The following is a 21,638-nucleotide window of genomic DNA, read 5'->3' on the forward strand; positions in this document are numbered from 1 at the left end:
AGAATTTATGTTTTTTTAGTCCCATCTCTATATCACAAAAGACTACATGTGCAAGGATCGTAGATAGATTCACGAACGTAGAAATAGCCAGAAAAAAGACCCCAGAAATAAGGAAGCATTCAAGACCTAACTTTTGCTGTTGAGAATTTATTCCAAACAGCTCAGCAGAAAAACCAAGCTAACTTTTAAATGGTGTGCACAAGATCACAGGGCTACTTTGCTTCATCAAGTACTTTTATTTGAAATTTCTAAAAATCAAAATAAACAAAAATTTAAAAAATAAGACCTATGTAGAAATTTAAAATTACTGAAAGATTGCAAATCTATCAAAAACATTTCACTTTCACAATACACATTAGTGCTGTTGTGTGAGAAGCCCATAAACAAGGTGTTTGCCTTGGGGGCCATGCCATCAATCCCAGCCTCAGCAGGAACATGCCACATAGTCATCAGCAATTGCACCGTCACATGTTGTCAATACATTTGAGTGCAGTAGGCATGTGCTCAGCTCTCCCACTTACAGCAGTTTCATTAAGGCTGTGTGAAGATTGAAGATTCTGGGTGGCAAGGGGTTCGCATTAGTAAGAACACTTCCCTGCTTCCCTGAAAAAGGGGGCAGAAAGCTGGGGGCTTATTGGCTCATGTAACTGAAAATACAAGAGGTAGAGAATGAGACATGGTCACCAAGGACGTGAATCAACAGTCTTATATCAGTCGTCTCTGCTCTTCGAGGCTGTAATGGTTCATTTTATGCATCAACTTGACTAGGTCTTGGGGTGCCCAGATACTTGGTCAAACATTATTCTGGGTGTGTCTGTGAAGGTGTTTTTGGATGAGATTAACATTTGCATTGGTAGACTGAGTAGAGCAAATTTCCCTTTCTCATGAAAATGGGCCTTATCTAATTCCTTGAAGACCTGAACAGAACAAAAAGATGACCCTTCAGTAAGAGGAAACTCCTTCTGTCTGACTGACTTGATCGAAGACATGTCTTTTCCAATCTTCAGACTGGAACCAAAACATCCTTTCTTCTTGGGTCTTGAGACTGCCTGCCTTTCAATCTGCAACTTATACCATTGGCTCTCCTGGGTCTTCAGCTTACCAACTGTAGATCTCGGCACTTCTCAGCCTTCAGTGTTGTGTGAACATCATAGAGCATACTTATGCAAACCTAGATGGTATAGCCCACTATATGCATAGGCTGTATAGTAAAGCCTTTTGCTCCTAGCCTGCAAACCTGTTAGTGTACCGAACACCGTAGGCAGCTGTAACATGCTGTAGCATGTTAGTGTACTGAACACTGTAGGCAGCTGTAACACAATGGTAAGCATTTGTGTATCTAAACATATAAAGATATGGTAAAACTATGGATTATAATCTTATGGGCTATTACTGACAGAAATGTTGTTATGCAGCACATGACTCTTGTGTATGTATGTGTGTGTGTGTGTGTGTGTACATATATATATATATATATATATATATATATATATATATATATATATATATATATGCAGCCTATTGGTTTGGTTTTTCTGGAGAAGCCCGATTCATAAAAAAGTGTTGGCTACATTCAGGCAGAACCTTCAAGCAGCTCCAGGCTTATGCTCTGTCTTAGCAATCCTGGTGGATTCTTTCTCAAATTTCAGCCTAAATCCTAGAATCGGTTCTGGTTTCCCTGCTTGGGTCATGTGCCCATCCCTGGACCAATCACTGGGGCTGGAGTTACAGGATGTGCTGATTGACTGGCTATGCCAGGGAAAGTGCCCATCCCAGGAGTCAGTGGGGGAATTGACTGTACTAGAGCCACGTGAACTAAGAGTGAGCAAGGAATGATCCCTAAAAGAAAGTCAGGGTGCTGCTACCCTAAGACAGAAAGAGATGGTGACAGGTAAAAACAGACGTTCTTTACAGGGTCATGCCCCAGTTATTTGAATCAATAGGGGCTTTGTTAATTTAGCCAGAAAAGCTAGGATGTAAATCCCTGCAATGCCACCTAGCAGGTAGTCTTGGACAATCCATTTTATTGGACTATCCATATACCAAGCCTTCACTTCTTCACCTCTAAGTGAGAATAATATTTAGATTGGACATATGTATGTAAGCACGTAGCAAAGACCTAGCATGTAACTCAGGAATTGGTAGCTAACCTTATCCTATAATATATGAGAGTTAAGCAACAGTGGCCTAATTCTCGTAGTGATAAAATGCATTCAGACCAGTGGTTCTCAACCCTTCTTTATCCGCATATAGCTAAAGAACATTCTGTAACTCATAAATGGAAGTTGTTCATAGTGGCACGGAGTAAGGAGAATGGTCTCCCTTAAGTTACATGTCAGAATCTCCAGAGGAAGGGCATACATTGAAGATGCACCTGCTGGTGCTGATACACAGCTCACCCTCCCCACCCACCTTGGGAATCACTGATACACCATTAAACTGGCTTATTGGAGCATGCTGCAGCAAAATTATCCCTAGATGATGTCTCTATCCAAATAATTTCTAAAAGGAAAAATGTCATTCAGAATCAATGTTTACCCCTCCCCCTGTGCTCCCAACAGCAGAAGGAAGATAATTCACAGTTATGCTTAAGGTTCTAATCATAACCCATCTCTGTTATAACCATGGTGGTTAAAAATGTGCCTGCTATTTTAAGTCCATAATTATTTTTTAATAGTACTATCATTTCTTTCCATTAAGTCTGTGTCAGTGAACTAGAGCTTGGCCAAAAAGAGTGAAAAATACATGCAGTCAAAAGTTGACTGATAATAGAAGTATGCCTTTTATCTTAATCTCTGATACCAAAATGAAAGGGATAAGAGAAACCAGGAAACACAACAAATGACAACTATTAATTTAGTGGTAGCATGATTTGCATAGTAATGCAGGAAATGTGCTGCTGATTATTGCATTTGCTCTATCATTAGAGCGCTGAGAAATGTTTGGAACTTGTCTGCATTCCCCACTGGTTAACACTTTTTAGATAACTAAGCCATCTTCAGTGTATGAATTATTCTATCTACCCAAATCCACAACCGTCATTCAGTATATTTCCCTTCTTAAAAAACTTCCTTTTTCCCTATAAATACATATTTGAAAAAAATGTATAGAAATCACATTCACCTTGATTTTGCACCATATATTTTGAAGCACTTTTATTTTACCCATTTGTATCACATTTCATGGAGATTATGGACTTGTCCATGTTAGTCACTGAGAACCCCAATTTCAGGAATTGTAACACCTGAGCACCTCCTCAGGTCCTACTCAGGGACATTTAACCAATAGACTTCCAATCCAAGGGAAGTTCCGGAAAGAGAAGCCTACTGGGAAATTGAGAAGTCAGAGAGGATGGATGGGAGAAAAGGCAGAAATATAAAATTTACAATTCTAGAAATATAAAATTTTACTTAATTACTAATTCAGATCAGTCCAACTTCTGGATTAATTATGCACATTTTCTATTTTTGTCCTACTAACCTGCTCAGCTAACTGGTCTACCCAGAATTCTGGGATCACAGCTTATAACTTCCTGCCTCCCCTTATTCAGTGTTTGTATCTTTCAGATGCCATCTTCCTATTTAATTGAACTCCATTGTCAGAGACCACCTCAAATCCCAAACTCTTCAGGAAGCTGCCCTTGATCAGTTTCACCTGATGGAGTTACTGCTGTGATTCAAAATTGATATCACCCATTTCATACCTCTTGGAACATCTACTATTGTTTTCTTTTTCTCCTGTCCTCCCTTCCTAAATAATTCACTTCATTTAACAAACATTTACAGAAAACAGCAGACACTGTAGGCACCAGCAATACAGGAATGATTGAAACTGACAGGCTCCCTACCATCATGAAGTCTCTTAGTTGGTTTATAATGGGATAACATCACATACACATTTAATTATTGGCAAGCATGAAAGGGGTGTGGGTGAAGCTGGGTGGGTTAGGGAAGGGAAAGGAAGAATAACAATTTAAATAGTAAAGGCAATTCTTTTTTGATTACCAAGTGCCTGAGTAAATGTGAACTGGGAGATGAGTATCCATCTGGTCTTCCCTCTGGTATACCTCCCTTCCCACCCCTCCCTACCTCCTTATTGAAGGTTTCACAGGGTGAACAACTCTCTTAATTAGTATGAATTTTTTTCTAACTTGGCCCCTAAAGGCAAGTTGACACTTCATTTATTACTCAACAGAAGATGCAGCACTTAGGATCCACTCTTGAGGATCTATAACAAGAAGAGCTGGGATTGCAGTGGTCTCAGGATACTGGAGCCCAGGTGGATTGTTTTCTAAGAGAGGGGCAGCCCTCTCCAGTCTGTCAGCCAAGCTCCAAGTCCCCCTCACTCTTCCCTCCTCATTTCCACAAAGGGCATCTTTCAATAAGAGAAATTCTCATAATCGAACTTTGCTGGAATATTTTCTTCACTTGATGCAAGTCCAGGGCATCTCCCCAAAGACCCTTGATCATGTCAGAGGTGGCTCAGAGCTGGTGAAAAGAAATCTGTGTTTAGTGGTAGGATACTTATTTTATTATTTTCCATTCAACTGGCCAGGGTCTTATCTTCTCTTTAAATGTATTTTACTTCAGTGTTGTCAAAGAAACAGGAGAAAGCATAAGCTGCATGCACATTTCAGACAAGCCTATGATTCTCAACCCAAACTGAGATCCTACAAGATCTATTTGTCTGTTTGGGATAAGCAGCACGCCATATCAAAAAGTGATGTGCATTCTCAACCCTGACCCAGGTAGTCCTGCTATGAAGGTCTGAGCCAGTGAGGAGAACGCATCTGGAAGACACTTCTGAGAGAAAGTCTCCCAGAAAATCTCCTAATCAGCACTATCTAATTTAACACTTTTTCCATAAAAAGGAAGTTCCAAGAGCAGTTCTGCTACTTGCAGAAATAAAAATCAAAATGAACCTATTCTCGCATTGTAAAAAACCTTTCAAATAAGATTCCAAAGACACAACTCAGCCTTGAACCGAAATCAAGACATAAACATGAGCTCAGCAAAACAGCATGGAAATAAATCAATCATGTATGCTACATGTTTCAATAAATATGCCAACAATAATAAAATTTTAGGTGTGGTCTTCAAAAGCCAACGTTTCTCATATTAAATTCCCTGTAGCATTTTTTGAATTGAGTTGAATAACAAAATAAAGCAGTTTGTATATTTATGGGATTCTTTTCTTCAGAAACTTTTTGACTCGAATAAAATGCATTCCATATGTATGATAGCTAAGCTGCATTTCCATGAGACATATATTTTCCCCATTTTTCAGTTAATGAATGTTTCAAGGGACAGTTTTCCAAGTTCTCCTCCCACTTTCCCAAGGCAAGATGTCTTAAGGAAAACAAAACAAAACAAAACAAAGCTAGGAGGAAATACTTCATCACTATTCATTATTTATAAACAAGTATAGTTCAGATCATGAAGGAATGGCTCCATTCATCAGTTTCACCTCTCCAAATCCAAGTAAACCACTCCCCAGGCTCTTGGTTATCTGATATTCAGTCCTGATAGCCATAGATCAAGAAAGGCCCTTTGCAAAATGGCAGATACTGAAGGATACTAAAACGCAGACACACACAGACACACACACACACACACACACATTCTCAAATGATATAACTTTCAAAAAAAAATTAAGAGGAAGCAAAACAAATGGCTCTCCACCATTTTTTTTTCTGCCCCATAGCCCCACCTAGGGAAAAAATTGTAAACTATGCTTAAATTAATTCAACAAATATTTACTGGACATCCATAACGTGCCAGGCACATGCTGGGGCCCCAAGGACACAATGCTGAGGATGGATTTGTTCCAGAGTCCAGAGGAGGGAGCAGGTGGAGGCTCTGTGGCTCAGATTTCAGGGAGGGGAGTGTTAGGGAGACCCCCTGGGGAAGTTGATATCTGAGCTAGAGGCTGAGAAAAAGAGAGGGAGGTGAAGGTGCCAGGCAGAGAAGTCAGCAGAGTGGAGAGGGCTGGGAGAAAGCAACATTTTCCCAGGTCTGCAGCTCCCAGTGCGGGGGCGCAGCAAAGCTGAGGCTGGAGGGCAGCAGGGCCAGACCTTCAGGGCTTTGCAGGGCACACACAGGAATCTGGGCTTCATCCTGAAAGGAGTGGGGGTGGCAGGAGGTCGCCAAAGTGTTGTAACCTTGCAGTGACAAGGTGACATTTGCGTTTTCATCAGGGTAGTGACAAGGTCAGGGTTGTGCTTTTTCAAAATCACATGAATTGTGATTCAGAGGTTTGATCAGAGTGGGGTGGCACAGGCTGGAGGCTGGAAGGGTCCTTGGCAAAGCAGATTTGCCAGTTACAATCTCCTCGAAGTCCCTCCGTGCCAGCCTCCTCGCCCCTCTCTGAGAGGCGTCACTCGTATTCTAGGAAGCAAGTGGATCATATGAAAAGATGTCCCCCAAATGGCACAGTCCTTAGTCAGAGACCATCTCAAGAGGTTCAAGCAGCCACCTGGGATCCCCAGCCAAGTCAGGCATTCAGTCAAACCCTGGTCACCTGGAAAGGCTTGTGAGTCATCAGATACTGGGCAGCTTGCAATAGGTTGTTTTTAAGTGTTTTAAGTTCCAACTTACTTATCTCTTAAAAATGCTAGGTATTTACCTTTTAATCAAATGGAATACAACCAGTACTTGAAAATATCTGTGCCTCCCTCTGCTCTGAGAGACCCACAGTACAAGACTCTTTGCCCCAAAGGCTTGCAAATGCAAGAAATAGTCATTGGTTTTCTTCTTAGCCTCTGGGGTAGAGGATATTGTGCTAGTTAAGAATATTATGGAAATATCCCAGAAATGGGTTAGACATTTAAGAAATAAAAACCCTAAGGGCCCCAAACCTGCTCTTAATCCTAAGAGTATCAAGTTGAGCACTCGCCTCCATACATCAAACTGGAATAAGAGATCTGTGAAAATCCTCAGAAGTGGAATTTTAATTTTTTTAACTTCTAAAGGTTAGATGTGAGAATAACATGATGATAACCTCTTTATCTACCAGGACAGCAAAATCCAGGCTTAGGATGCGACGATGCTTACATTGATTAATAGAAACTAACCAGCCAGCAAATGCCTTGAAAGTTCCCAGATAACCTGAGAAGTGACAAGAAACAGAGACCATAAATAAAGTTAAGTGCCCTAGAGAAAAAATACACCCAAAGTGGCTTTAGTCTGTCCCACAGAATAATTCTTTTTCATGCTACATAGCAAAAGAGCTCAATCTAGTTCTTCCTAGTTTTGTCTGGTTTACTCAAAACAAATTCCGTATAGGGTTCTCAGATCTTTTCTTCTACATATTCCTCTGAAGATTTAAAGCTTTGCAAAACCAGACTGTACCCAGAATAGAGTCTCACTTTTTTTTTAAGCAGGGATAAATAAGAAGGCAAGATCTGAGCAAACCTTTAGTATCCTCTACAGACCCTATCATTGGATTTTTTGCTAAGAATATTAAATATTTGTAAATGGATGTTTGATAATAATACCCTAAAGAAATAATTTTCTATTTAATTTTATAAAATTCAAACACTTATGTTATCTCCAATATTCCTGGAGTGGTTTGATAAATGGTAGTTGGGCCACAGGAACCTCCCTGCTTCTTGAGAGTATCTCAGAGTATTTGCTTAAGAAATACACATGGATTCCTCCAGGGCAGTTCCTATAGGCTCTGAAACATACCCCAAAGGTTAAGTGATGAGCAGAAAGTTTAAACTCCTCAAGCCATTCAGCTTTAAAATAACACCTGGACCAAACCCACAACCAATACACTACTCTGTTATAGCAAATGTGTTGTTCCATGGCCTTCCAGAGTCCTATGATTTTTCTTCTATTGAACCTGCTACAGTATTTCTTTGGAAAACTACTTTTTCCTCTACCATCAACCCTTGCACTTTAGTGGAGCTGGCTCCAGCTCTGTGTTGGGAAGAGGCCACTGACTCAGGCCTGCCAATCAGAGGATCACATTCTCCCTCCACACTGATTGGTTCAGGGATAGGTGATGTTGCAGTCAGAGCCAATGAGAATCAATGACTCTTGCTGAACGAGATTATTCCTATTGGACTTGAACCTGGCCCAGAGTGAGCTTGAGTGGCCATTTTGCCATCATGAGATGAGTCGGCTGAGAATGGAGCTCATGCTCCACAAAGGGTGTAGGAGAGAGGTGGAGAGATGGAGACTGAGACCGAGGAACATCATTTCAGCCCCTGGATCAAGAAGCATGCAAAATGACAAATCCCTGTACTTATGTTAATAAGTTTTCTTTCATGCTTAAGCCAATTTGAGACAGAATTTGTGTCATTTGCAACAAAAGGAGTCCTAATTCATAAAATTGTATGTAAACATATGAACTGCTGACAACACAATTTTGAGCAAGATGACATTGTGAATACAAAGCTGAAAATGAATCAATGACATTGCCAGGTAGGACTTATTCTCCCATCAACAACATCTTAACATGGCATATCCTCTTTTGGACAGTGCACAGTGCTACTGAATAAATGAAAATTCTATTTTTTTTAAAGCAATAACACTAAGATAAGATGTTAAATCAACAAAGTGAGATAAAAATGGAGACCCAGGTCTAAGGAAACAAAATGAGGATAACAACAACTCATTATTATTGTACATAATGGTACGGAATACATACTATTAAAAATCAAATTACTATGGGGTTTCAATTCCAATAAGGGTGAAGCAGCTACTATTGGGCTAACTCTGGACAAAATATTTTTTAAAACAACTATTTAAATATGCTAGAGAGCAATCAAAGTCAGGCAGTACTGGAAGAGATTCAACCCTTGGCAGATGGGAGTTACAGTTACATTGGGTGAGATCTATGTTTATACGATTTTTCCTTGAGGGCAACCCCTTAGTCTACAAAGTGTTGGGTGGCTCAAACTGAAGCAGTAAACCACAGAGTAGTTGGTTTGAGATACTAGAAAATTAAGTTTTGGACAGCCGAAGCATGTGAAAAATGAGGGAGGAAATCACAGAAAGTTGACATTGAGAGCCCCCAAGTATGCATATGTCTTTTATTTAAGTCCCTGGCTGATCTCTGATCTGTGCATAGTTAGGGGAACTCCTGAGATTGTAGCAGAAAGATACAGCTAGAAGGATTAAAAGGCTGAGCAGAGATTTCAGCTGCTGGCCTTAGCAGGGAAACTAGTGTTGAGTCTGAATCCTGCCAGATTATAGGTGCTTGATAAATAGCTGAGGTTTTTCATTGAAATTTCAGAAGGGTCATTCTGATAAATAAAGACTATATCCTAGAACTAAGAATTTGCCCTTAGACAAAGGGAAAAAACAAAATGAACCCATCCTAACAAAGTATAAACTCAAGCCTCCACAGGTTCAAGATGATTAGATAGTAATTTAACTCCTGGCTAGAAAAAAAAATTCACACTCTTCAAAGGAAAATAACAGAATCCAGAGAATCTGTAACATATATTACACAATGTAGGGGAGACAATTTAAAAACAAAATATGAAAAGAAAGAAGCAAATGTGACCCATATCCAAAGATGAAAGTAGTTATTGAAACTGATACCGAGATGACACAAATGTTGGAATTAGTAGACAAAGATTTTAATAAAACAAAAATTGACAAATGGGAACTAATTTAACTAAAGAGCTTCTGCACAGCAAAAGAAACTATCAGCAGAGTAAACAGACAACCTGCAGAATGGGAGAAAAGATTTGCAAACTATGCATCCGACCTAAAAGTCTAATATCCAGAATCTATAAGGAATTTAAACAAACTAACAAGGAAAAAAATGAACAACTCAATTAAAAAGTGGGCAAAGGATATGAACAGACACTTTTCAAAAGAAAGTATACACGTGGCCAACAAGCATATGAAAAAATGCTTAACATCACTAATCATTGGTGAAATGCAAATCAAAACTACAGTGAGACCATCTCACACTAGTCAGAATGCCTATTACTAAAAATTCAAAAAATAACAGATGCTGGCGAGGCCTCAGAGAAAAGGGAATGCTTATACACTGCTGGTAGGAATGTAAATTAGTTCGTCCATTGTGGAAAGGAGTTTGGCAGTTTCTCAAAGAAATTAAAACAGAACTACTGTTTGACCCAGCAATCCCACAATTGGTATATACCCAAAGGAATATAAATCATTCTGCCATAAAGACACATGCACACATATGTTCATTGCAGCACTATTCACAATAACAAAGATTTGGAATCAACCTAAATGTCCTTCAGTGGTAGACTGGATAAAATAAATGTACATATATACCATGGAATACTACACAGTCATAAAAAAGAACAAGATCATATCCTTTGCAGCAACATGTGGGGAGCTGGAAGCCATTATCCTAAGCAAACTAATGCAGGAACAGAAAACCAAACACCGCATATTCTCACTTATAAGTGAGAGCTAAACATTGAGTACACGTGGATGCAAAGAAGAGAACAACAGACACTGGGGCTTACTTAAGGATAGAGGGTAGAAGGGCGATGATTGAAAAACTACCTGTTGGGTACTATGCTTGTTACCTGGGCGATGAAGTAATCTGTACACCAAGCCCCTGTGATATGCAATTTACCTATATAACAAACTACAAATGTACCCCTGAAGCTAAAATAAAAGTTTCCAATTTAAAAAAAAAGAGGTCAAGAGAAGAGAAAGAGATTCTGGATGTATATACAGTCACCCCTCCTTATCCATGGTTTCCGCATCTGCAGATTCAACCCACCATGGATTGAAAATATTGAAGGAAAGGAACACAGAAAAATAACAGTACAGATAAGAAAAAATACAGTGTAACAATTATTTATACAGCATTTACATTGTATTAGGTATTATAAGTAATCTAGAGATTATTTAAAGTATATGGGAGGATATGTGTAAGTTATATGCAAATACTATGCCATTTTATATCAGGGACTTGAGCATCCTCAGAGTTTGGTATCTCTCGGAGTCCTGAAATCAATCCCCTACTAATAGCAAGGGAGGACTATATATCAATCTACTAATTTGAGGTAGTAGAAATAAAAGGTTACTTTCTTTTTAAATTTTGTTCTATAAATCTCTAAAAATGAAAAAAGAAAAAAGAAAACAAGAGGGAAACACAAAGAATCAGTAAATCCCAGCCTGAAGTTGAGATACAGATATACTGTAGAGGGAGGGGCTCCATTCCCACCTAGATCAACAAATCCAATGTCCTGTAATGCAGATGAGTCAATAGGGCCAGAGGGCTAACAACCTGTCACAGGGCACTGCAGTGAGGCAGGGGCATTGCTAGCTCTAGAGCCCTGATCCCTTACCCACCAACTTCATGCTTTAGAGTTAATTCCATTTTTTCTACATATTTCCTATGGATGAAGCTAACTATGAAGTGCACACATTGTGCTTTGTGTGTGTGTGTGCATGCACATGTGTGTGTTGTTTTTCAAAGGTGCTCGAAACATGGTTGAAAGCTTTCTGACAGAGCCCTGATTGTTTGGAGAGAGGCAGGGCTAGCAAAATCAGAGGAATGTGTAACATAAAAATGAGGTTAAAAAGGGGCTATTGTTCCTATAACTAATCTTTACATTGAATCTTTTCTAGCAAAGGAGCGGATGTAGCGTTTTTCAGCTCTATCAAAAAGACCTGACATTTCTGTGAGGAGGCCAAACAATACACAGTTATAGAGATACTAACCTGCAGCCTGGTCACACAGAATATGTCCTCTACAGACCTAGAAACTAGTAGATACCCTAGAAACTAGTTCTCCTACTGGTGTAAAAAGGATGCTAAGAAGAAGAAACAAACACACAGGGTCTTTGTACCCTAAAGCCCAGAAATACAACCAACCACTAGCCTTAGAAACTTAGGAGTTAGATCACAGACTGCACAAGTCCTAGATGAAAGAGGAAAAGGGCTGACTGACATTTTTATTTTAAATTTAAAATACTGGAGGAGAACAGTTGATATTTGGCATTTCTGCAGTCTAGAAAAGCTGTGTTGACCCTGATTGGCCTTCAGGTGATCATTTTGCATTGCCATGGAGTCTTTATCTCCAAGGGTGTCCGGCTTCTGAAATCAGAGATGAGTGGGGAATGTCAGTCAGGGTCAGAGGAATGCTGTGCCAGGCATGGATCTGAAGGACTCTGGTGGTTGACTCTGCAGAAGTCAAGATCAACCCTGAAGCCCTTCTCCAGATGCTCTTGGATGGGCTGAGGTTACGAATAGCACCTGCACCACCTACATCTCTGAGAGTTGGCCACAACTGAGACAGGGCTTGGGCTTTCTGGGGAAGACCCTGCATTTGCCTTCCTGTGGAGTGCTGATTGTTTCTTCCATGAGAAATTCACTGTCTCTGATAATGTTCTTATTTCACATGATCATCTGAAGAAAAAAAATGGATAAGCAAGTTAAGGAAGTGAAGAGCAGAGGCCACTGGGATGAAGGCTAGAAGAAATGAATTCATGAAAGCTATGAAAGATGACATTGATGCTAACACATTGTATAGACTGGGGCTTAATCTGCTGGGTACCGTGCCAAATGCTTTTCAGGTATTATATTATTAATCCTGATGGAAACCATAAGAGATAGATGTTATAATTATCCCCATTTTACAGACGAGGAAACTGATGCTTGGAGGTAGCCTGCCCAAAGTAACAGCTCTAGAAAGGAGAGGACCAGAACTAGAACCCAGTCTGACTCTGGCTCCTTCCCTTCTTACCCTCCCCTACCTGCCCTTCTTCCCTCTCACCCCACAAACAAAAGCTCTTCCCCTTGTGAAAGATCTGCTGTCAATCATTCCTACTTTACAATCACACACTTGCAGACAATGAAGTGTTGCATCACCTCCCCCAGGAGAAAAACTTTTAAAAAATCTTCTCCAGTGATCAAGAAGGATGTTCTGCTACCAACTCTCCCTATATGTGATCTACATGTCCAAAAATGGTAGATGATGGAGTACTATTATACTGCAACTTTAGCCCATTGATGAAGTCAAGTAATTGATACAACATTGCTAGCAAGAAACAGCGGCTCTGCACCTAAGAAGGGAGGCAGGGGGGCATACTGCATGGATTTTACAGGGCTGTTTCTGCCCTGAGCTTTCTTCCTCATCTGTAAAGTGAGGGATTTGGATGGAATGCTTGCTAAGGGATGTTTAAGCATTGTGATGTTGTAATATCTATAAGAAAGCAATTAAACTCTGCTTTTATAAACCTTCACATTTATTGTGGCATTTTTCATCATCAGATTGGCAAAGATTGAAACACATGGGGCTAATGAGGAGATAACAAAACAGATGCTCTTGGCCTTACTGGTGGGTGAATAAATTGGCTCAACCTCTGTGGATATCTATAAAAATATAATAACAATGACAATCATAATTTGCAGCGCATATACCCATTTACACTGATAACTCATTTCTGGGAGGTTCTCCTAGAGCTATGTTTGCACATGGAAGATTAACTACGGTGCTGTTTATTGTAACAGGAAGCTAGGAATGACCTGCATGCCCTTTGGTGAAGGATGGTGTGCTAAATTGGGCTACATCTAAGTAAATGGGACACTACACCAGCCCTAAAAAGAATAAGGTAGATGAACATGTTAGAACAGGATCTCCAGAACAAATCACTAGGAAGAAAATGTAGAGAACTACATAATATGCTCCCATCTGGTTTGACTATGTGGTTAGAAGGTGTATATGTGTTTGTGCAAATGCAAGTTTAGAACATCTCTGGAAGGATTGCTTTAAAAACAACTGTTAACACTGGTTGCCATGGTAGGGGACCTGGGGACCCAGAATAAAAGGGAGAGTTTTTTTAATTGAGGAGCTTATTGTGTTCTTTGAATTTTTTGCTTTGTACATATATTACTTTTTTATTTTAAAAAAACTAGTTCAAAAAGTTTTTTCGGTTTATGAGAGGTCATGACAAAAACATAAAAATACTGCAGAGAAATTGCATCAACTTTATTATATAGTGTATCACATACCCACATACATATACAGCATTACACAATGTTGCATATATATATATGTCTACTACATTACGTATATATGTGTATGTGTATGTACATACACATATACAATTACATATATATTTGTATACACAAACACACACACACACACACCAGTTGGATAATTTGTTGGCCCAGCTGGTTAAAAGTTGAAAGCTCATGAAATTCCAGTCACTGGTTCTCTCCCAGTTTTGAGACTCGGCCTCTCCCTTCCATAACCACAGACTATGCTTGGAGCCTAGGTCAGCCACCTACACAGTGGACTTTCCAAGAAGAAAGATCACGTTTTTTTCCCCTGTCATCCAATGCCCAAACATCTCTCCCACATCCCCACCGAGTGAACACTTTCAGCATCAATCTCTGACTTCAGCCAGAGGAGCTGGGCATAAAGAGCCCTCACTGTAAGCCCCAAGGCAGGCAAATGGGCCAACACTTGTTGGCCATGGCCTGAAATCTCCGATGTACACACGAAACAATCAAACATCTCTGATTCACGTTTGTTGAATATTCTTAAGCCCTGAGAGAAAGGAGTCAAAAATAGCTAAGAGTTTTGAAACCCTTTAGGAAAAGGCACTCTTTGGCATACTTGTTTTTTCAGCATTCAATGAACAAAAAGGTTCACTGTTTCGACCACCAAGAGAACAGCCAAGTTTTTAGAAACGCAGTCACACTTTTGGCTGACATAAGGAGATTTTCCAACTGGGCTTTCATCTGCACACGTATGGGTGGTCTCTTCCACCTACCACGGACTTTTCCGTGCCAACAATTTTGTTTGTAAATCTAAGTGTAATAACAAAGCTTGTGTACTCATGGAACTCTAGATGTTCAGCACGAGGAAATACAAAGGTGCATTTAGGTGCCTCTATTGCTAAGAAAACCTTGATTCTTTGAAAGATGGAAAAGTCACTTTAAACAGATCTCTTACGTCTTTAAGGAGAAGTGTAGCTGACTCGCAATTCCTTCTACAGAAACTCAAGATTGAATTATTTCCACTGGGCAGATTAAAATACACAATGTTTTCATGAGGATGACTGGACTTCATAAATTTGTCACTGCCTGGCTACGTGCAGCCTTTGATCCCTTCCATTGGGCCTTATTTTGAGCAAAAAGCATTTAGCTGCTGGGTGACACATGTCTCTGCATCCATCCCTCCTGCATGTTGTACTTGGCTGTCCTCATCAAGAGGAAAGAGACAGGGCCAGCTCTTAGGTAAGGGCCATACTGAAACATTGAGCCTTTTCCATTTTAAAGTAAAGCTGCTCAGAAGCCCCCAAGCCAGCGGCCCTAGTTTAAAGGTGTAGGCCATCTGGCCAGCACGTCTGTCTTCTCTTTATCCATTAGGGTTGATTCCGCTGGTTGGCCTGATAGGGTCATTATTCCCCTTCTCTCATCCCAACCCATTAGTGCCCTACTCAAAGAGGACCCCATCCCCTAAGAGAGAAATACTGTTCAATCCAAGCCATACAAGTCACTGAAGTGCAGCAAATGGCAACTGAGCTTTCTAAGGGCCCTGTGTGATGCTGGTACCAGGAATATAAGAGAATAAGACATAGAACCTGCCTCCGAGATGCTCATCAGCTAACAGAGACGACAGACAACCCAACAACAAAGTGATCAGTGCATGAGGTCTGCCCTGTGCCTTTTGAGCACTTACCAATCAGGTACCTATCCCAACCTTCAGGGGCTGTGGGTGCTGCAGGAAGGCAGGCCAATAAGGGAGAGCTTCCTGAGGAGGTGGCAACTGAGCTGGGTCTTAGAGGATCTGTAGGAGTGTGGCCAGAGAAAGGTGATGGGAGGCACTTCTGGCCAAAAGGGAGAGAATTAGCAACAGCACAGGTGTGTGCAACAGCACGGAAAAGCAGGTATTTGCATAGCTGGAGTGTGAAGTACAAGGTAGGAAGGGGTGAGAGATAATGGGTATAACTGACAACATGGACTCAGCTCTTCATCACCATTTAAAAATAATTATAATGATGATATTTGGAGTTTTATTCCATTTTACACATGAAGAATATGGGGGTCCAGAAAGGTTGTGATTTGTTCAAGATTCTCTACCTGATACTTAGCAAACAGAGCTCAAGCCTTGGTGCATGGGATACTGAAGACCTTGCTCTTGACCACTACATATAGGTTACTATAAAAATGGAATACAACAGAGACTCTAGTAACCACAAGAGAGTTCGGAGATAAAGTCCTTGCTTTCTGGAAGGTGTGAAGGCCACATCAATAATCATGGTGTCAAGGAGTGGCCACAGTGGCCGGCAGGCCAGTGGTACTCAGTGGAGGAGGCAGCAGCTGCCCCAGAAAATGCGGCTTTACTCAGCAGAGCTTGTGATGGGCCGTGGTGCCAGGGCTGTGGTGCTGCTCAGTGAAGGTGCAGGGGACAGCTAAGGTTCCCCAAGGGAGCGGCAGGACCCAGCTGAAGTGGCAACACAGCAGCTGAATGAAATGGCATCCATAATTGGGGAACAACAAATTCACTTGCCAGAGCAATGGAGAAGAGGTGGGGGAGAGGACATGGGCAAGAATGGGAGAGACATGCTGTACTTTATCTTTAAACCTGTTTAACTTTATCCATGTTGCACTAGGTGAGACTACTGGAACCTCATATTTAACTAAAGATTAAAATAGGCCATCTAATAACAAATTAAATACTTTCAGTAAGAATCCACCAATTGACCTACTCAACAACAGTTTTATTGATCATCTACTATGTGCCAGGCAATTCGCTAGGCCCTGATCTAGGCAATGCAATAACATAAGAAAAAGGAATGAACACTAAACTACTAGAAAGGAGGATGTAAAATTACTCCCTAAGTAAACAATATTATTATATATCTAGAAAAATCAAGAGATCCATTCATAACAGAAGTGTCATTAAAGTGGCCAGATATAAAATAAACATACAAAAATAATAATTTCTTTAAAATACAAGAACTAATTAATTAAAAAGATAATAGAAGAACCAATTCATAATAACAATACACAGGAATAATGCCATAAGAAAATTATATGAAAACGACAAAACTTTGTGGGAGACACAAAAAGAAGGTCTGAGTAAACAGAGAAAGGTATCTCGTTTCAAGACAGAAAACCAAAGTACTATAAAGGTATCAGTTCTTTCCCAATAATGTATATGCTGAACTTAGATGAAAAGATAATTTTAAAGATTTTCTAGAAGAATAAAAAAGAATAGCTTAGATTATTTTAAAATTTAAATAAGCTATACAGATCTTGCCCTATCAGAATTTAAAACTATCTTTTACTGGAACAAGAACCAACAGCAAATGAAATAGAGCAGATAGCCCTAAAATGAACTTAGAACATATGTATATGTATGTGTGTGTGAAAATTTATATATATAATATACATAAATGTGTATGTTATAAATATATAATATACATAAATGCATGAATCCATTTATTAATATATTTATACATATATTATTTATTAGTATATACAAATACATATTCATATATGTTTATGATAAAATAAGCTGCATAACATAATTAGGAAGAAATAGTTTATTCAGGAAATAATATTGGGAAATTTAGCTGTCAATCCAAATTATTATCAAACCGCAAAATAGCTACAGACTGATATGTGTTAAATGTTAAATAGATAACAGTAAAAAACCAGAAATGCAGGTGAACCACTGAGCTCTGGAAGGAGAACTTTCTAACTTAGAAATGATTAATGAGATGACAAATAGAACACTTAACAGATTCTACAACATAGAAACTGTCTAATTCCAAAATAGCATTTTGAAGAAAACGAAGGCAAATCACAACTCAAAAAACTATTTGCAACCAGAATTGTAGATTCATTAGTTTTAATGAACCAAAAATATTTCTTTAATCACTAAGGAAAACACTGATCCCTAAATTTAAAGATTGGCAAGTGATATAAATAGACCATCAAAGAAAGGCATCTCAAATGTCCACTAAACGTAAAAACGTTCCTCACCATTAATCAAAGAAATGTGCATTAATATATGAATGTGCTCCAGTCAGTATCACTGTGTTACAAATTACCCCAAAATCTGATGGCTTAGAAAAGCCATTTTATTTTGCTCCTGATTTTGTGGGCCAGTGATTTTAGAGGGGAAAATTGTTACAATACAATATGGAAAATATGACATAAAATTAAATACAGTGTATATTTTGTTTCCTAATGTATATCAATTATACATGCACAGATAAACACTGGAAAAACAAAAAACAAAAAACAAAAAAACACCCAAACGCCAACAGTGATTATTGCCCTAGTGGAGGAAATAAGGGTGATTTTTTTTTTTTTTTTTTTTTTTTTGAGACCGAGTCTTGCTCTGTTGCCAGGCTGGAGTGCAGTGAGGCGATCTTGGCTCACTGCAACCTCCACCTCCCAGGTTCAAGCCATTCTCCTGTCTCAGCCTCCAAATAGCTAGGACTACAGGCGCCCACCACCATGCCCAGCTAATTTTTGTATTTTTAGTAGAGATGGGGTTTCACCACATTGGCCAGGATGGTCTCGATCTCTTGACCTCATGATCGGCCTGCCTTGGCCTCCCAAAGTGCTGGGATTACAGGTGTGAGCCACCACGCCCGGTCGATTTTTGTTTTTTTATGTATATTTCTTTTATATTTTCCAAATGTTTTATAATGCATATTATTTTGCTTTTACATTTAGAAAAATAAATAAGAGCCATTGCCTTTTAAAACAAAGGGGAGAATCGGTCTGGAGTCACGGAGAGTGACAAATTACTCTGCAGCAGGTTATTCGGAAACCTTTCATAAATCCGTTTAAAAATCCTCCTCAAGGTAAGATTTCTCTAACCACATTTCAAAAGCACTGGAAGCTATTTTAGATCCTCTAGATACATCAAATAGGCTTATTCCAGCCACCATTTATATATGAAAAATGAATAAGACAAAAGACAGACAAACAGTAAAGTATAAATCAGAGTCTTGGGGGACTTTTTAAAGAGTTGAGTGGTCTCAGTAGCTCTGCAAAGTGTCTGCAGAGTTCTGGAATAACCATAGCACCACTTACCATGAAGCAGGAAATAAGTAACAGCAGCCCTGGGTTTAGAGTCAACGTGCTGTATTTGTGGTGACAACGGCAGCTCTTTTCCCAAAATCAAGCTCTTCCGTGCCATGAGCTTCACCACAGCCTTCTTGGTGGTGGTGGATTCGTGTGCAAGAGTCATTTTAAGAGGGCACAAACCTCACCAGAGCTCTTCAGCAGGCCACAGAATAGACGCAGGCACCCAGGGGCTGCTTTGAAGTGTTGCAGTTTTACCAAGAGAAGGCATGCGGCACGCTCTCACCCTCCTCCCTCTTGGGACTTCGGCACACAGCAATAATCAATCAGAACACTTCCCTGCCATGTCTAGATACTTCTTGAAAGCTTTTCTTTCAATGATGTTCCAATGGCCTAGGAAGGTCCTGCAAGAAGAAACTGACCTGACAGCTTCCCTGGGACACAAGCCTTGAACTGGCTCCACTGGGCAAGTCTTTGGGGATATCCCCAGCCAGTTTTACCAATGGATCAAAAGCCTTACCTATGGCCTCTCTACATGGACTGCTGATTCCACATCCATTTTCTCCTGAATTGCACACAGTGTGTTGGAATCCAAGAAAATTAGCACAGAGCCCAACTCTGGTTGGGCATCTCCCCTCACTGCCGGCAAGTTACTTACACCCACCTCCATCGCCCTAGAGACTTCATTTCACAAAAGAGCAGGGCCTTAGTCCTACACTCAGCCCTTGGGCTCCTTGAGGTTAGTGAGTCTCTTTCTATCCTCCCTCCTTTGCCCAATGTCTACCTTCCCAAGAGTCTCCAGTATCTAGGACATTGTCAAAAACATGGCAGACACTCAAGAAATGTTCCAATGACTAATTCAATCATGCAAAAAATGGCGATAATTCCACTCATGTAAATGATCAGACTGGATATAGATGGAGGCTGTCCCATAGAGCCCTGTGCTTTCTTCCTAGGCTCTTCCAAAATACATGGGTGCCATGGTGTCTTTGTCTGGAGCTGGGTTCCTTAAGCAACTTTACGGCCTCTTTAGTACTCTGGAAGCGTGTTCTACATTAAGGGTTATCGGCTCTCTGGCTGCATTCTGCCTGGACAATCCATGCTGGAAATGCCCTACAGCTGGAGACTGAAATTCAGAGTCCGCAAGTAGGAGAGGTTAAAATAAATAGTGACTCCAGCAAGACCCTTTGTGACAAGAAGTCTGCACGGCATCCAACACCCTGGAATGCTCAGCCACTTCAAAAGGAGAGTAATTGCCAGATATCTGCAAAAGGGGCAAAGGCCTTCAGGCCACTTGCTTTGCAAGTGCTGCAGGGGAAGCAGTGGCCCAGACTGCCCGGGACCATGAAGTCCAAGAAGCAGATGTTTTACCACAGTCACCGCAGAGCCTCGATTGCCTGACATCCAGAGCCAGGCGAGGGGCCTCCCTCCCAGATGGTCACTAAGGTATCGCCAAACCAATTAGTGTTGATCGTGACTCCTGGAAGGAGAACGTCCTGTTTATTTTTTAACGCTGCTTGCTCATTGCTGGTTTCACGGTAGGAGATACATTATAATGACCAGGCTCTTTTCCGTTTCACCCCCTTGACCCCGGCCACAACTCCCTATTTTGTTTGGAATTTGGAAGTCTGGATTTCTCTAGCTATCATCAGAGTTACGTCACTGGACACAAGTGTGAGCTTCAGATGCCTCATAAATGTCGTCTACTCAGTCAACTTCTGGCTTCATTTCACAGGTCTGTTTCCCATCCACTCTCATTAGAAACTGAACATGACTTTGTATTGGGGAGTTGAATTGACCAGTAAATCTGATTCTGATATAGTGAAGTCTAAAGTGGCATCCCGCTCCATGACCTTCTATGACCTTGGAAAAATAGTGCATCCCCCTTCACAGCAATCCATGGGTCTTGCTCTTTCATGCACACAGACACATGTACAAACACACACACACACACCACCTAATTTTCATTCTCTTAGACCAGACTTTCTCAACCTCAGCGTTACTGGCATCTTAGACTGGATAATTCTTTGCGGTGGGGGCTGTTCTGTGCATTGTAGGCTGCTGAGCAGCATCCCTGACCTCAACCCACTAGATGCCAGTGGCACCACCACCCCCTCCCCAAGCCATGACAACCAAAAATATCTTCAGATGTTGCCAGATGCCCCCCTCGAGAGTCAAATCACCCCCGTTCGCAGACCGCTGCTTCCTTAGACCTAAAAGGGTGATATGGAATATGACTTCTAATTTTTTTAGAGCCAAGAGATAATAGAAGTTGAGTAAGAGAGTTCCCATTTTACAATTCATTTCCTGGATTAAACAAATCAAAGAGTTTAAGTAGCTGGAAAAAAGCCCAAGAGTTCATTTGAACGAGAAGTGTTCCTGAGGAAGAGCCAGCAGTTACTCCTTGAAATTGCAGGGGATTGAAGACATCAGCAGCCAGGGGGACTCTGAGACCCATTCCCTCCATCTTCCCGTCTTATGGGAGGAGGACGTCGTGATGGTGGAAGATGGCAAGGGAGGCCCCGGAATTTCCCTGCTGTCCTGTTTGCTCCGTCAATATCAGCTCTATCCCAGCTAGCCTCCTCCATTATGTCAGAGTAGAAATATAAAGGTGAGAGTTTTAGCTAA

The 21,638-nt window shown here is 40.5% G+C and overlaps 1 long non-coding RNA gene across 2 annotated transcripts in view, besides 1 other annotated feature; it reads right to left on the reverse strand.

Moving 5' to 3' along the window:
* Window positions 5,903-7,102: an enhancer, noted in NCBI's record as "P300/CBP strongly-dependent group 1 enhancer chr10:122872407-122873606 (GRCh37/hg19 assembly coordinates)". NCBI's record gives its function as "activates an origin of replication core promoter dependent on BRD2, BRD4, P300/CBP, MED14 and CDK7 cofactors, with strong dependence on P300/CBP, by STARR-seq in HCT116 cells {active_cell/tissue: HCT116}" and the evidence as "EXISTENCE:reporter gene assay evidence [ECO:0000049][PMID:35650434]".
* LOC124902515 (uncharacterized) overlaps window positions 11,877-21,638 on the reverse strand; it is a 66,678-nt gene continuing 56,916 nt past the window's right edge. For both annotated transcript variants that reach the window (XR_007062318.1, XR_007062317.1), the window contains exon 2: window positions 11,877-12,359. This is a non-coding gene — a long non-coding RNA (uncharacterized LOC124902515). The remainder of the gene's footprint in view (window positions 12,360-21,638) is intronic.

Source organism: Homo sapiens, chromosome 10, assembly GCF_000001405.40.
Source record: "Homo sapiens chromosome 10, GRCh38.p14 Primary Assembly".
Taxonomy (NCBI): domain Eukaryota; kingdom Metazoa; phylum Chordata; class Mammalia; order Primates; family Hominidae; genus Homo; species Homo sapiens.